Source organism: Homo sapiens, chromosome 19 (genome assembly GCF_000001405.40).
Source record: "Homo sapiens chromosome 19, GRCh38.p14 Primary Assembly".
Lineage (NCBI taxonomy): Eukaryota > Metazoa > Chordata > Mammalia > Primates > Hominidae > Homo > Homo sapiens.
In genome coordinates, this window is record NC_000019.10 from 41,330,323 (window position 1) to 41,346,502 (window position 16,180).

Sequence of the window (16,180 nt, forward strand, 5' to 3'; positions counted from 1 at the left end):
CTGCAGCCTTGACCTCCCAGGATCAAGTGATCCTCCCACCTTAGCCTCCAGAGTAGCTGGGACCACAGGTGTACATTTTTTAAAAGTGTTTTGTAGAGATAGGGTCTCACTATGTTACCCAGGCTGGTCTCAAATGCCTGGATTCAAGTAATCCTCCCATCTCTGCCTCCCAAAAGTGCTAGGATTACAGGCGTGAGCCACCCCGCCTGGCCTGAACTACTATCTTTTATTGTCTTCTTCACTATCCCCCACTAAAGCAGGTTCCTGGTGGGCAGGAACTCCTCCCTTAACCTCTCTGGGCTTGTTTCCTCACCTTTAAAATGGGTGTTATCAGAGTCCCTGCATCTCAGAGTGTTGCTATGGTGACTGAATGAGTTCATTAATGTAAGGCACTTCAACAGTGCCCAAGGTGCTCAATAAATAGATCTAACTACAGTAGTGTTCCCCACTGGTCCCCTGTGCCTTGATGCCGGGCAAAGGAATAGTGCAGACAGGCAGGAGGAGGCAGAGAGGGAGAGAGAGGGAGTGGGAGTGGGGGAACGTCAGGGATGGAGACCCCAGGCAGGCGCCCAATGACACAGAGATCCGCAGTCCTCTCTCCATCTTTAATGGGGCCCCAGGTGGGCTTGGGGCACGGGTGTCCTTAAATACAGCCCCCATGGGCAAGGCAGCGGGGGCGGGGCGGGGTGGGGCCGGGCCTGCCGGGGCGGGGCGGGGCGGGGCGGGACCTCAGCTGCACTTGCAGGAGCGCACGATCATGTTGGACAGCTGCTCCACCTTGGGCTTGCGGCCCACGTAGTACACGATGGGCAGCGGCTCCAGCGCCTGCGGCACGCAGCACGGCGCCGCCGAGGCGCCCGGGTTATGCTGGTTGTACAGGGCCAGGACCTGCGGGCGGCGGGCGGGGTCAGGGCTCAGGGCTCGTGGAGGGAGGAAAACGGCCCTCCACTGCCCCATCCCCCACCCGCTACCGCGCCAGCCTCTCTCACTTCGTCTCTCCCCGCATCCCCTCTTCCCATCTCCAATTCGGTCTCTCTTATCTTCTAACATCCTATCTTATTCTGTCTCTCCCCACCTGTCTGATTTTCTTTTTGTTTTGAGACTGGGTCTCGCTCTGCCACCCAGGCTGGAGTATAGTGGCACGATCATGGCTCGCTGCAGCCTCAACCTCCTGAGCGCAAGCCATCCTCCCGCCTCAGCCTCCGGAGTAGCTCCAACCACAGGCAAGCGCCACCACTCCTAGCTTTTTTTTTTTTTTTTTTTTTTTTTTTGGTAGAGATGGGATCTCAGTCTGCTGCCTGGGCTACTCTCGAACTCCTGGGCTCAAGCGATCCTCCTGCTTCAGCGTCCCAAAGTGTTGGTATTACCATCGTGAGCCGCCGCGCCCGCCTGATTTTCTTTCTCAGTCTCTGTCCCTCCTCATCTTCGCCTCTTGCCTTGTTGTGTATCTGTCTTTGTCTCTCCTTGGCCTAACTCTGTGTCTGTATCTGTCTCTCTCATTTTGTCTCTCCATTTCTGCGTTTTTCCTTCCATCTCCCTGTCTCTCTTCTCCCCTTCACCCCCATCCCTCTGTTACTTCACTCTGTGGGTCTTCATAGCTCATCTCCCTCTGGCCCCTGCTCAGAGCCCCTCTCTAGCTTCCTGCCTCTCTCCCCATCTCTTTATTCATTCCCCTCCCCACCCCATCCCTCTCTTTCTCCCCATCCTGCCAACTCACCTCTCTGACTTTACTTCTCTTTCTCTCTCCTCTTCCTCCGTCCTGGCTCCCCCCAAGCGCATCTCGTAGCCCGGTGGGCCAGACGTACCTTGCTGTACTGCGTGTCCAGGCTCCAAATGTAGGGGCAGGGCCCGAGGCAGAAGTTGGCATGGTAGCCCTTGGGCTCGTGGATCCACTTCCAGCCGAGGTCCTTGCGGAAGTCAATGTACAGCTGCCGCACGCAGCAGTTCTTCTCCGTGGAGCTGCAGGCAGGAGAGACGCGTCAGGGGCAGGGAGGGGCTACCACCATAGAAGCCACATGCCCCTCCTCCCCAGGTGCGTGTGTCACCCTAGGTTGCCCCCCCAGCCCTATCTCCATCTGGGTCTCCCTTGCACCCACTGTGTTAATAACAACACAAATAGTCATGATAATCACTAACACAGATTAAGCACTTCCTCCAGTGCTAAGAGCAATGTAATAATTAATTTCACGCAATGCTTAAGACAAGCCTGTAAGAAGCCAGATGACCATCCACGGGGGGGCTAAATAAATCATGGCATGCCACACCCTGGAACATACAAAATAACACAGCTCCATGTAAACTGATCTGCTCTATTTGTGCAACAAATGTTTATTGAACTACTACTGTGTGCTGGGCTGGGATCTACTGTGGACTGAGGACAAATGAAACAGATAGAAATAGGCTAGGCATGGTGGCTCACACCTTTAATCCCAGCACTTTGGGAGGATGAAGTGGGAGGATCGCTGGAGTCGAGGAGTTCGAGGTTGCAGTGAACTATGATAACACCACTGCATGCCAGCCTGGACAACAAAGTGCAAGACCCTGTCTCTACAAAATTTTTTTTCAATTTTTTTAAAAAAGAGACAGAAATCTCTGCCCTCCATGGGCATGCTATAAATTGTCTTGTCACTCCTCTGCTCTGAACCTGGCTCCATCTCACGGCAAATGCCCAAGTCCTCACCGTGAGCCACAAGGTGCTATCAAATCTGGCTGATCTCAACTCCCTCTCTCACGCCTACTCCACTCCAGCCACACTGGCGTCCTGTCTGTTCCTCAGACAGTCTTATTTCGGGGCTCCTGCATCTGCTGTTCCCTCTGCCTGCCTTGCTAGTCCCACAGATACCCACTCCAGCTTGTTCCTTCACTTCATTTCTTCTTTTTTTTTCTATTTTTTTTTTTTTTTTTTTTTGAGACAGAGTCTCACTCTGTCTGCCAGGCTGGAGTGCAGTGGCATGATCTCGGCTCACTGCAACCTCCGCCTCCCAGGTTCAAGCGATTCTCCTGCCTCAGCCTTCCGAGTAGCTGGGATTACAGGCGTGTGCCACCATGCCCGGCTAATTTTTTTGTCTTTTTAGTAGAGACAGGGTTTCACCATGTTGGCCAGGCTGGTCTCGAACTCCTGACCTTGTGATCCGCCCACCTCAGCCTCCCAAAGTGCTGGTATTACAGACCTGAGCCACTGCATCTGGCCTATTTATTCTTTTTAATTTGTTATTCTTTTTAGAGACACGGTCTCACTATGTTGCTGAGGCTGGTGTCGAACTTGGGCTCAAACGATCCGCACGCCTCGGCCTCCCAAAGCATTGGGATTACTGGCATGAGCCACCACACCTGGCCCCTTCACTTCATTTAAACCTTAGCTCAAATGTCCTTCACTCAGGGACCCTTAACTCCTAAAGCAGTGTCTGGAATGCAGTAGGTACTAGTAAATATCAGTTACATGACTGAACATCACCTCCTCAGAGATACCTTTCTGAGCCATCCTTTCCAAAATATCCAAGTGACTGTTAGTTCCATTTAGTGCAATACGGTATTGCAGTTATGCAAGAAAATATAAAAATGTCTGCATTTGAAATGGGGCAAAATCTTAATTACCGATGACGCTGGATGAGAGTTTACGGGCATTCATTATCTTCATTGCTTTTGTATACATTTGAAATTTTCCATAATAAAGGAATTTAAATCAGAATAGGAAAAATAACAGTTCCCAATATCTATTACTCTCTGCCTGCCTTCTTCTGGTTTATTTTACTTCTTAGAACTGTCAAAGAGGCCGGGTGCAGTGGCTCACGCCTGTAATCCCAGCACTTTGGGAGGCCAAGGCGGGTGGATCACCTGAGATCAGGAGATTGAGACCAGCCTGACCAACATGGCGAAACCCCGTCTCTACTAAAAATACAAAAATTAGCTGGGTGTGGCGGTGCTTGTCTGTAATCCCAGCTACTCAGGAGGCTGAGGCACAAGAATCTGCTTGAACCCAAGAAGCAGAGGTTGCAGTGAGCCAAGATCGTGCCACTGCACTCCACCCAGGGCAACAGGGTGAGACTCTGTCTTGAAAAGAAAAGAAAAAAGAAAGAAAAGAAAAGAAAAAGTTGACAATGCCTTTTTTTTTTTTTTTTTTTTTTGAGACAGAGTCTTGCTCCGTCACCCAGGCTGGAGTGCAGTGGTGCAATCTTGGCTCACTGCAACCTCTGCTCATAGATTGGTGGGGCCAGCCAGGCACGGTGGCTCACGCCTGTCATCCCGGCACTTTGGGAGGCTAGGGCAGGCAGACTTGAGGACCCTGTCTTTACTAAAAATTCAAAAATTAGCTGGACCTGGTGGCGGGCACCTGTAATCCCAGCTACTGGGGAGTCTGAGGCAGGAGAATCGCTTGAACCCAACTTCAAGTGGCACCGGATAACCTAGAGGCAAGATAAAGCCTTTCCAAGAGCCACAGAAGCCTGAGAAGGAAGTCAAGAAACTGAGATCCCTGTGAACTCAGCCCGTACCACCCAATTTGGTTGGACCTCAGTTTCCTCATCTGTTCAGAGGTAGGAGCTACTAGATAAAATAAGGTGTTAAGCTGAGGGCCAAGGGGCCATCATGGGCAGGCTTAGGGAGGGCCATGAGTGCCTGAGATCATATGCACATGTGTGTATGTATGCATGTATTTCTGGGAAAAAGAGTCCTGGCTTTCACTTTCTCACAGGAAGTTCTGAACTCACAAAAGGGGAAGAACTAGTGTCCGGAATCTTTTTTTTTTTTTGAGATGGAGTTTCCCTCCTGTTGCCCAGGCTGGAGTGCGATGGTGTGATCTCAGCTCACTGCAACCTCCGTCTCCCGGGTTCAAGCAATTCTCCTGCCTCAGCCTCTCAAGTACCTGGGATTACAGGCATGTGCCACCATGCCTGGCTAATTTTTTGTATTTTTAGTAGAGGCTGGGTTTCACCATGTTGGTCAGGCTGGTCTCAAACTCCTGACCTCAGGTGACCCACCCACCTCGGCCTCCCAAAGTGCTGGGATTACAGGCATGAGCCACCGCACCCGGCTCAGAATCATCTTTAATATGCAGTTCAACCCTAGCTGGGGTTCTGAGATCCTAGGATTTGAACAATCTGTGATACTGTTATCCAAGTCAGCAGCTCTCCACGTGAGCTCCCAGGACCAGCGGCAGCATCACCTGGGAACTATGGGAAATGCAGATTCTCAGGTGGCACCCCAGGCCACTGAAATCAGAAATTGTGTGCAGGACTGGGAACAACAGTCCGTGTTGAACAAGCCGTCTAGGTGATCCTCTGACTCATTTTTTCAGCACACATTCGGGGCCTACCCTGCACCGGGCCTTGGGATACCCACAGCCCTTGCCCTTGCCAAGCCTCTTCCGTCCAGTCTCTCAAGACCTAGGCCAGGTGCAGTGACTCACGCCTGTAATCTCAGCACTTTGGGAAGCCAAGACCGGTGAATCGCTTGAGCCCAAGGAGTTTAAGACCAGCCTGGGGAGCATAGTGAGACCCTGTCGCTACAAAACTTTTTATAAATAAAAGACCCAACAGAGACTGTTTGTTGAGTCAAAGATCTACTTAGGGCCCCAGGGGAGCCCAGAGGCCTCACATCCATCTTGGATGTTGGAGAAAGGGGTTAGGAAGGAGGTAGTGTTCGAGCTGCCTTAAGAACAAATTTTCCTATGAAAGTTTTTTTTTTTTTTTTTTGAGATGGAGTCTTGCTCTGTTGCCCCAGGCTGGAGTGCAGTGGTGCAATCTTGGCTCACTGCAACCTCCATGTCCCAAGTTCAAGCAATTCTCCTGGCTCAGCCTCCCAAGTAGCTGGGATTACAGGCACACACCACCATACCCAGCTAATTTTTCTGTATTTTTAGTAGAGACAGGGTTTCACCATGTTGGACAGGCTGGTCTCGAACTCCTGACCTCATGTGATCCACCCGCCTCAGCCTTCCAAAGTGCTGGGATTACAGGTGTGAGCCACCGCGTCCAGCTGGAAAGTTTCAGATGTACACAAAAGCAGCTTCAACAATGACCAACTCATGGCCAATTTCCATTGCATCTCTACCCCTATCCACTATCTCTTTTTTTTTTTTTTTTGAGACAGGATCTCACTCTGTCACCCAGGCTGGAGTGCAGTGGTGCAATCACAGCTCACTGTGGCCTCCAGCTCCTGGGGCTCAAGCCAACCTCCCACCTCAGCCTCCTGAGTAGCTGGGACAAAAGGTACACACCACCAGGCCCAGCTACTTTTCATATTTTTTTTTTTGGGAGATGGGGTTTCACCATATTGCCCAGGCTGGTCTCCAACTCTTAGGCTCAAGCAATCCTCCTGCCTTGGCCTCCCAAAGTGGTGGGATTATAGCTGTGAGCCACTGCAGCCAGCCGACAATGGTTTATCTCAAAGCACATGCAATCCACCGTGTTGCTTCATCCATAAATATTTCAAATGTATCTCTAATTAAGACTACTTTAAAACACAGTCACAATACCATGTAAGAAAATTAACAATTCCTTGATATCTAGAGGAATATCTAGACAGAGTTCACATTTACCCAACTGTCTCATAAATATCTTTTTTTTTTAAGCCTGTGTAAATAAGGATTCAAGTAAGGTCTACACATTGCAATTGGTTGATATGTCTCTTAGGATTTTTTTTTTTTTTTAATTTTTGAGATGGAGTCTCACTCTGTCACCCAGGATGCAGTGAAGTGGTGCAATCTCGGGTCACTGCAACCTGTGCCTCCCAGGTTCAAGTGATTCTCCTGCCTCAGTCTCCCAAGTAGCTAAGACTACAGGCGCCTGCCACCATACCCTGCTAATTTTTGTATTTTTAATTATTTATTTATTTTTTTGAGACGGGAGTCTCACTCTTGTTGCCCAGGCTGGAGTGCAATGGCGCGACCTCGGCTCACTGCAACCTCCACTTCCTGGGTTCAAGCAGTTCTCCTGCCTCAGCCTCAAGAGTAGCTGGGATTACAGGGCCCGCCACCACGCCTGGCTCATTTTTGAATTTTTAGTAGAGAGGAGGTTTCACCACGTTGGCCAGACTGGTCTCGAACTCCTGACCTCAGGTGGTCCACCCACCTTGGCCTCCCAAAGTGCTGGGATTACAGGTGTGAGCCACGACAGCTGGCCTGATTTTTGTATTTTTAGTACAGACAGGGTTTCACCATGTTGGCCAGGCTGGTCTCCAACTCCTGACCTCAAGTGATCCACCTGCCTCAGCCTCCCAAAGTGCTGGGATTACGGGTGTGAGCTACCATACCTGGCCTCTCTTAGGACTTTTTTCAAAATCTACAAAATCATCTCTCTCTCTCTCTGTATATATATTCAGGGTCAACTATATATAGACTGACCCTTGGACATGGGTTTGAACTACATGGGTCCTCTTACAAAATTCACCACTTACAGGTGAATTTTTCTTCCACCTCTGCCCTGAGACAGCAAGACCAACACCTTTTCTTCCTCCTCCTCAGCCTACTCAACATGAAGACCTTTATGATAAGCCACTTCCACTCAATGAATGGAAAATATACTTCCTCTTCCTTATGATTTTCTTAAGGACATTTTCTTTTCTCTATCTTATTTTTAAAATGCAGGCATAGGCCGGGAGCAGTGGTTCAAGCCTGTAAGGCCAGCACTTTGGGAGGCCGAGGCTGATGGATCACCTGAGGTCAGGAGTTCAAGACCAGCCTGGCCAACATGGTGAAACCCCGTCTCTACTAAAAATACAAAAATTACCCGGGTGCGATGGCGGATGCCTGAAATCACAGCTATTTGGGAGACTGAGGCAGGAGAATTGCTTGAACCTGGGAGGCGGAGGTTGCAGTGAGCTGAGATCACTTCACTGCACTCCAGCCTGGGTGACACAGCTAGACTCTGTCTCAAAAAAAAAAACAAAGAATACGGCCGGGTGCGTGGCTCACCCCTGCAATCCCAGCACTTTGGGAGGCTGAGGCGGGTAGATCACTTGAGGTCAGGAGTTCAAGACCAGCCTGGCCAACATGGTGAAACCCCACCTCTACTAAAAATACAAAAGTTAGCCGGGCATGGTGGCAGGTGCCTATAATCCCAACTACTCAGGAGGCTGAAGCAGGAGAATTGCTTGAACCCCCGGGAGGTGGAGGTTGCCGTGAGCTGAGATTGTGCCATTACACTCCAGCCTGAGTGACAACAGCGAAACTCCGTCTCAAAAAAAAAAAAAGGGGATATAGGACATAATACATAAAACATGCAAAATATGTATTATTCGGCCGGGAGCAGTGGCTCATGCCTGTAATCCTAGCACTTTGGGAGGCTGAGGTGGGCGGATTGCCTGACCTCAGGAGTTCAAGACCAGCCTGGGCAATACGGTGAAACCCCATCTCTACTAAAATACAAAAAATTAGCTGGGCGTGGCGGTGGGCACCTGTGGTCCCAGCTACTCGGGAGGCTGAAGCAAGAGAATCACTTGAACCCGGGAGGCAGAAGCTGCAGTGAGCCGAGACCGCACCACTGCACTCCAGCCTGAATGACAGAGACTCTGTCTCCAAAAAAAAAAAAAAGTATTAATCAACTGTTTATGTTGTGGATAAAGCAGAATTCCAGTCCACAGTAGGCTATTAATAGTTAAGTTTTTGGGGAGTCAAAACTTGTATGTGAATTTTTGGTTGCATGGGGGGTACGTGTGTGTGTGTGTGTGCTTTCCCCTTCTTTGCATTGTATTTGATGAAGAAACTGGGTGAGGTTTCTTGCAGTCTGAGTTTTGCTGACCATTTCCTCTGTTCCTGTCTTTCTAGAAAACTGTTAGGATCTACAGTCCTGATCAGATTCAGGTTTGATTTTTTTTTTTTTTTCCTGAGACAAGGTCCTGCTCTGTCCTGAAATGCAGTGGCGTGATCCTGGCTGACTGCAGCCACAACCTCCTAGGCTCAAGCACTCCTGCCTCAGCCTCCCAAGTAGCTGGGACTACAGGCACACACCACCCAGCCAGCTAGTTTTTTTGTATTTCTTGTACAGAGGCAGGGTTTTAACATGTTGCACAAGCTGGTCTTGAACTCCTAAGCTCAAGCGATCTGCCTGCCTTGGCCTCCCAAAGTGCTGGGATTACAGGCATGAGCCACCGCACCTGGCCTTCAGGTTTGATTTTTTGCCAAGACTTCCTAGGCAACATTGGGTCCCTCCCTACGGAGGCTGACATGGCTGGCTATCTCCCTTTGTAATGTCAGGAGCTGTTGGCACTCAAGACCTCAATTTGTGGCCGGGCGCAGTGGTTCATGCCTGTAATCCCAGCACTTTGGGAGGCCGAGGCGGGTGGATCACGAGGTCAGGAGTTCGAGACCAGCCTGACCAACATGGTGAAACCCAGTGTCTACTAAAAAAACCAAAAATTAGCCGGGTGTGGTGGCACACGCCTGTAATCCCAGCTACTCAGGAGGCTGAGGCAGGAGAATCACTTGAACCTGGGAGGCGGAGGTTGCAGTGAGCCGAGATCACGCCACTGCACTCCAGCCTGGGCAACAGAGCGAGACTCTGTCTCAAAAAAGACCTCAATTTGTTCATTGACAGCGTTGCTGGGCTGATGGCGCTAAGATCTGGTGGTGAAGGAGCCTGGGAGCAGGGCTGATTTTCTGGCAGGGAAACAGCCGGTAACAAAGCCCAGAGACAGGACCAAAATATTTTAAGCAAGGGAGGAATAAGGTCAGATGATCACTCTAAATTTACAACATTCTAACTCTCCATTTCAACTTTCTAGGAATCCAACATTTCAGCTTTCTTAGATTGCAGTATTAGCATTCCAGCATCTTATGATTCTAACATTCTGACAGCATCTTCAACTCTCTAGGATTCCCCCTTTCCAACCTTTGAGGATCTTGGCATTCCTGAATTCCAGTATGCCAGTATTGCATCCCAACATTCCAAAGTTCTGAGCCATCACTCAAGAGGTTCAAACTGACACTTTCTTTCTTTTTTTTTTTTTTTTTTTTTTTTAGATGGAGTCTCGCATCATTGCCCAGGCCGGAGTGCAGTGGCGCGATCTCGGTTCACTGCAACCTCCACCCCCGAGGTTCCAGTGATTCTCCTGCCCCAGCCTGGGTACCTGGATAGCCGTAATCCCAGCCGAGTAGCTGGGATTACAGGTGCCAGCCACCACACCTGGCTAATTTTTGTATTTTTAATAGAGATGGGGTTTCACCATGTTGGCCAGGCTGGTCTTGAACTCCAGACCTCAGGGATCCGCCCACCTCAGCCTCCCAAAGTGCTGGAATTATAGGCGTGAGCCACCGCGCCCAGCCTGCTGCCACTTTCTATTAATAAAATCCCAGCATTCTAATATTCTAACATTCCAACACTGAGTTCCAACATGCTGAGATACCAATATTCTGCTTTCTCCAACTCCAACATTTGTGGATGTGAATATTTCAAAACAGAATTCTACCACTGTGAGCCCAATATTCAAGGACTCCAATCTGCCAACACTGGTATCCACAATTGGCCAGTGGTGCAGGAATTCCACATGGGCCATCTTCCCATTTTGAATCCCCAAATTCTAGGATTCCAATGTTTCAGCTTTCCTTGAGTCCGACATTTTCCATTTCAGTAATTAACACCAAATTCTAGCATTCTAGAATCCCAGCATTCTAGAACCTCAACCTGCCAACAATTTAGGGATTCAAGATGGTGACCTTCCAACTTTGAATTCCAACAATCACAGGGTTCAACTTTCTAACATTCTGTGATTCCAACACTCCAGCAAGAAAGCAAGGCTGGGCGTGGTGGCTCACACCTGTAATCCCAGCACTTCGGGAGGCTGAGGCAGGCGGATCACGAGGTCAGGAGATCAAGACCATCCTGGCTAACATGGTGAAACCCAGTCTCTACTAAAGATACAAAAAATTAGGCCGGGCGCGTTGGCTCACGCCTGTAATCCCAGCACTTTGGGAGGCTGAGGTGGGTGTATCACGAGGTCAGGAGATGGAGACCATCCTGGCTAACACAGTGAAACCCCATCTCTACTAAAAATACAAAAAAATTAGCTGGGCGTGGTGGCACGTGCCTGTAGTCCTAGCTACTCGGGAGGCTGAGACAGGAGAATCGTGTGAACCCGGGAGGTGGAGCTTGCAGTGAATCAAGATAGCGCCACTGCACTCCAGCCCAGGTGACAGAGCGAGACTCTGTCTCAAAAAAAAAAAAAAAAAAAAAAAAAGGAACCTGATCCCAACATTACAAGACTCCCAGTTCTTTTTTTGTTTTTTGTGGCTGGGATTATAGGCGCCCACCACGCCTGGCTAATTTTTGGATTTTTAGTAGAGACGGGTTTCACCATGTTGGCCAGACAGGTCTCAAACTCCTCACTTCAGGTGATCCACCTGCCTCAGCCTCCCAAAGTGTTGGGATTACAGGCGTGAGCCACCGCACCTGGCACAAGACTCCTGGTTCTTACACCCAGACCTCATCCCCTGAGCCCTCCAAGCTAAAGGAGACAGATGCTCAGCCCAAGCACAGCAGCAGCCAGGTGTCCAACCTGGAGCACCTGGTCAGCAGATGGCAGTCATGCCCCCAGCCTGGAAGGCCTCCATCCAGGCTACAAGGCTCACCTGAAGCAATAGTTGGTGTCCAGGGCTCGGCGGTGCCGGGAGCTTTGCAGATGCTGGGCCCTCTCCAGCGGGGTGGCCATGAGAAGCAGGAAAGGCCGGTTCATGCCATGAATGGTGGCCAGGTCACCTCGGCGGCCGGTAGTGAACCCTGCTTTGGTGTGGGAGTCAGGGGATAGGGGACATACACACACACTCTCAGAGGGATAGATAAGTGGGGCGTGGGGCAGATGGGAACACACACACGCACACACGTCACAACTGGGCATGGCCGGGGAAGCAGGCCTCACCGTTGATGTCCACTTGCAGTGTGTTATCCCTGCTGTCACAGGAGCAGTGGGCGCTAAGGCGAAAGCCCTCAATTTCCCCTGTAGGAGTGGCGAGAGGGAAGCCAGTCTGAGAGTGCAGCTCACCCAGCCCCTGGAGGAAGAGGAAGGAAGGAGCAAACCCCAGGGGCTTCCTTCCTGCCTCCCCCACCCACCCCACTCTGCCCTCTCACTGCAGCTCTCTCTTTTTTTTTTTTTTTTTTTTTTTGAGACAAGGTCTCGCAGCCTCAATCTCCAAGGCCCAAGCAATCCTCCCATCTCAGCCTCCCGAGTAGCTGGGACCACAGGCGCGTGCTACCACGCATGGCTAATTTTTTTTTTTTTTTTGAGATGGAGTCTGGCTCTGTTGCCCAGGCTGGAGTTCAGTGGCGTGATATCAGCTCACTGCAACCTCCACCTCCCAGGTTCAAACGATTCTCCTGCCTCAGCCTCCCAAGTAGCTGGGATAACAGGCATGCGCCACCACACCCGGCTAATTTTTTGTATTTTTAGTAGAGATGGGGTTTCACCATGCTGGCCAGGCTGGTCTCAAACTCCTGACCTCAGGTGATCCGCCTGCCTTGGCATCCCAAAGTGCTGGGATTACAGGCTTGAGCCACTGCATCCGGCCTACACGGCTACTTTTTAAATTCTCTGTAGAGACAGAGGTCTCACTATGTTGCCCAGGCTGGGCTCAAGCAATCCTCCTGCCCTGGCCTCCCGAAGTGCTGGGATTACAGGCATGAGCCACTGCACCCAGCCAGCATCAATCTCTTGAATGAATGAGTGAATGATGTTTTCTAGGCTCCTACAATGTGCCGAAGCCTGTGCTGTGTGCTTGGGACTCAGCATTGACCAAGACAGATGAGCTCCTTCTAGGCCTTTGTCGAACAGCCCAGGACACTCCTCCCAGTGCCCACCTGCTCCCTAATCCCTATTTTTTCTTTTTCTTTTCTTTTTTTTTTTTGAGACGGAGTTTCACTGTTGTTGCCCAGGCTGGAGTGCAATGGCACGATCTTGGCTCACTGAAACCTCCACCTCCTGGGTTCAAGCAATTCTCCTGCCTCAGCCTCCCGAGTAGCTGGGATTACAGGCATGCATCACCACGCCGAGCTAATTATGTATTTTTAGTAGAGACGGGGTTTCTCCATGTTGGTCAGGCTGGTCTCGAACTCCCGATCTCAGGTGATCCACCCACCTCGGCCTCTCAAAGTGCTGGGATTACAGGCGTGAGCCACCATGCCAGGCCCCCTAATCCCTTTTTTTTCATGTGGCCAAACTACTATTTATCCTGTGAGTCTCCACACAATCACCCTCACCCAGCAAGCCCTCCTAGACTCCCCAGATGGGTCCAGGTGCCTTCTCTGGGCTCCCAACAGCACTTAGGGCGTTCCCCCATCCTGCATGCCTCCCTGTCCCAGCCTTGTCCTCCCTGCTGGTGCCTCCCCATCCCATTCTTGATCATTCTAGGTCATTCCTGCCTGGTGGGGCCTTGACAAGATCTCTTAGGTGTCCAGAAGTGACTGTGGGCCCCATGAGGGCAGAACTGAGGGCTGTCTTGGTTATCACTATGTCCCCCACACCACCCAGCACATGGCCAGGCACACAGCAGGAACCTGTGGGCAATTATTGAATAAAAGCATAAATGAGAGGGAGGTGAGGGAGAGAGATAGGGGCACCATGGGCCCTGCCAGAAACCAGACAGAGACAATCATCTCCTGGACAGATCAAATGAGTTAGTTAGGCTCTCCCTGGCCTCCAGGCCTTTGCACAGGCTGTTCCCTTTGCCTGGAATCTTTTTTTTTTTTTTTTTTTTGAGATGGGATCTCACTCTTTCATGTAGGCTGGATTGCAGTAGTGTGATTATGACTCACTGCAGCCTCGACCTCCCAGGCTCAGGTGATTCTCCCACCTCAGTCTCCCAAGCAGCTGGAACTACAGGCACGTAACAGCATGCATGGCTAATTTTTGTATTTTTGTGTAGAGACCGGGTTTCGCCATGTTGCCCAGGCTGCTCTCAAAACTCCTGAGCTCCAGTGATCCATCCTCCTTGGCCTTCAAAAGTGCTGGGATTATAGGCATAAGCCACCATGCCCAGCCCCAGAATACTCTTACACCTCTCCTTTTCCTGACCATTCTACTCATCCCTTCAACATCAGCTATGGTGCCCCTCCTCCAGGAAGCCCTCCCTGATTCTGGGCTGGGTCAGGTACCTCCTTTGGGCTCCCCATCCCAGTCCCACCCACTCTGGGTCATCACTGCCTTACAGGTCTGTTCCCCAGCTACCTAGCCAATGGACTATATGAGCTCTGTGAGGGCAAGGATGGGGCTGTTTTGGTCATTGCTGTGTCCTTGGCATCACCCATCACAGGGCAGGGCAGAGAGGTGCTCAGGAAACAGATTAGCCAATCACTCAGGTTTCCATGCCACAGAGGGGAGCCAGGTCTCAGCACTTTCACACCAGTATGGGGCGGAGAGGGGTCCTAGGCAAAGTGACCCCAGGACAAACAATGGGGTGGACCCCAGGGAGAAACAGGGGTGGGACACACAAGTAATCCTCACCTCCACGGCTCAACCACTGCCGCACAACTCCGGTGACATCAAAAGATAACCACTCTGGCGAGTCGCTGGGTGCCAGCAGCCGGTTGCTGAGGTATCGCCAGGAATTGTTGCTGTATTTCTAGAGGATGATGAAGGCAGGAGAGAGACAGTGGGTAGATGGTGTCACGACCCCACATACACTAACTGAATCCTTCACCCCATCTGCTTCCCCAAACAGGCTTCCAGAAAGTTCCCAGGCACTACCCTCTCAGACAGCCACCTGTGTGGTCCTGTGGCACCCATCCTCCCCAACAGTACCCATGAGAGGAGGGGTGGAGAAAAAGCTCAGGCTGCGGTCAAGTCACCTTCACACAGCTCAGCCGAAGGTGTTTTCTTGCCTTCTCGAGGCCTGTTTCCTCATTGGTGAAATGCTAAGCCCCACTCAGCGTGGACAGCCCACAATGCTAAAATTCTGCTGCTAACATTCTGGGCCGGGCGCAGTGGCTCACGCCTGTAATCCCAGCACTTTGGGAGCCCAAGGTGGGTGGATCACTTGAGGTCAGGAGTTCAAGACCAGCCTGGCCAACATAGTGAAACCCCATCTCTACTAAAAATACAAAAATTAGCCAGGCATGGTGGCACACGCCTGTAGTCGCCACTATTTGGGAGGCTGAGGCAGGAGAATTGCTTGAGCCCGGGAGACACAGACTGCAGTGAGCCAAGATCACGCCACTGCACTCCAGCCTGGGCGACAGGACGAGACTTCGTCTCAAAATAATAATAATAAATAAAATAAAATTCTGCTGCAAACATTCTGGGGTTTACTGAGCATACGGTTCTGCAAATTTGACACCCTGAATTCTCAGTAACTTAGAAGTCATTTCTAATGATTCCGGCTGGGCACGGTGGCTCACGCCTGTTATCCCAGCACTTTGGGAGGCCAAGGCGGGTGGATCTCCTGAGGTCAGGAGTTCAAGACCAGCCTGGCCAACAAAGTGAAACCTCGTCTCTACTAAAAATACAAAAATTAGCCAGGCGTGGTGGCACACGCCTGTAATCCCAGCTACTCAGGAGGCTGAGGCAGGAGAATCACTTGAACCCAAGACACAGAGGTTGCAGTGAGCCGAGATTGCACCACTGCACTCTAGCCAGGGTGACAGAGTGAGACTCTGTCTCAAAAAAAAAAAAAGTCATTTTGTGATTCAAATGTTTGATAATATCCCAAGATTTCCACTTCTAGAGCCTGAGAAGCTTTAGAAGACTAATGTTCTATAAACCCAAGAGTCTGCCATGCCGCACCTAGATGCTGCAGGTACCCAACATCTGTGTAGAATAATTTTCTGGGCCAGGCACAGTCGCTCACGCTTGTAATCCCAGCACTTTGGGAGGCCGAGGAGGGTGGATCACCAGAGGTCAGAAGTTCGAGACCAGCCTGACCAATATGGAGAAACACCGTCTCTACTAAAAATACAAAATTAGCTAGGTGTGGTGGTGCATGCCTGTAATCCCAGCTGCTCGGGTGGCTGAGGCAGGAGAATCGCTTGAACCCAGGAAGCAAAGGTTGTGGTGAGCCAAGATGGTGCCATTGCACTCCAGCCTGGGCAACAGGAGCAAAACTCCATCACACACACACACAAAAAAAAGAAGAATTTTCTGGGGCTGGATAGTCCACTCCAGGGACTGCAGAATAAAGCTGAATTCCCCAGACTCCAAGAAGCCAAGCTAACATAGGACAAAGTTCTCTCACTGTGAAAGTCTGAAATCTACCATCCTATGA

The 16,180-nt window shown here is 50.6% G+C and overlaps 1 protein-coding gene across 2 annotated transcripts in view, besides 1 other annotated feature; it reads right to left on the minus strand.

Annotated features, from left to right (window-relative positions):
- The window catches only part of TGFB1 (transforming growth factor beta 1), a 23,600-nt gene continuing 7,420 nt past the window's right edge, over window positions 1-16,180 (minus strand). The window contains exons 3-7 of one of the 2 annotated variants that reach the window (NM_000660.7): window positions 14,425-14,542; window positions 11,848-11,925; window positions 11,561-11,708; window positions 1,806-1,959; window positions 1-888 (exon numbers count right to left, since the gene is read on the minus strand). In NM_000660.7, coding sequence (NP_000651.3) covers window positions 730-888; window positions 1,806-1,959; window positions 11,561-11,708; window positions 11,848-11,925; window positions 14,425-14,542 — 657 coding nt within the window. In that variant the 3' untranslated portion in view covers window positions 1-729. Of the gene's footprint in view, window positions 889-1,805; window positions 1,960-11,560; window positions 11,712-11,847; window positions 11,926-14,424; window positions 14,543-16,180 lie in introns of both variants that reach the window. The other variant, XM_011527242.3, reaches the window with a different exon arrangement.
- Window positions 4,580-4,679: an enhancer, noted in NCBI's record as "active region_14676". NCBI's record gives its function as "activates an Ori minimal core promoter by ATAC-STARR-seq in GM12878 lymphoblastoid cells {active_cell/tissue: GM12878}" and the evidence as "EXISTENCE:reporter gene assay evidence [ECO:0000049][PMID:35858748]".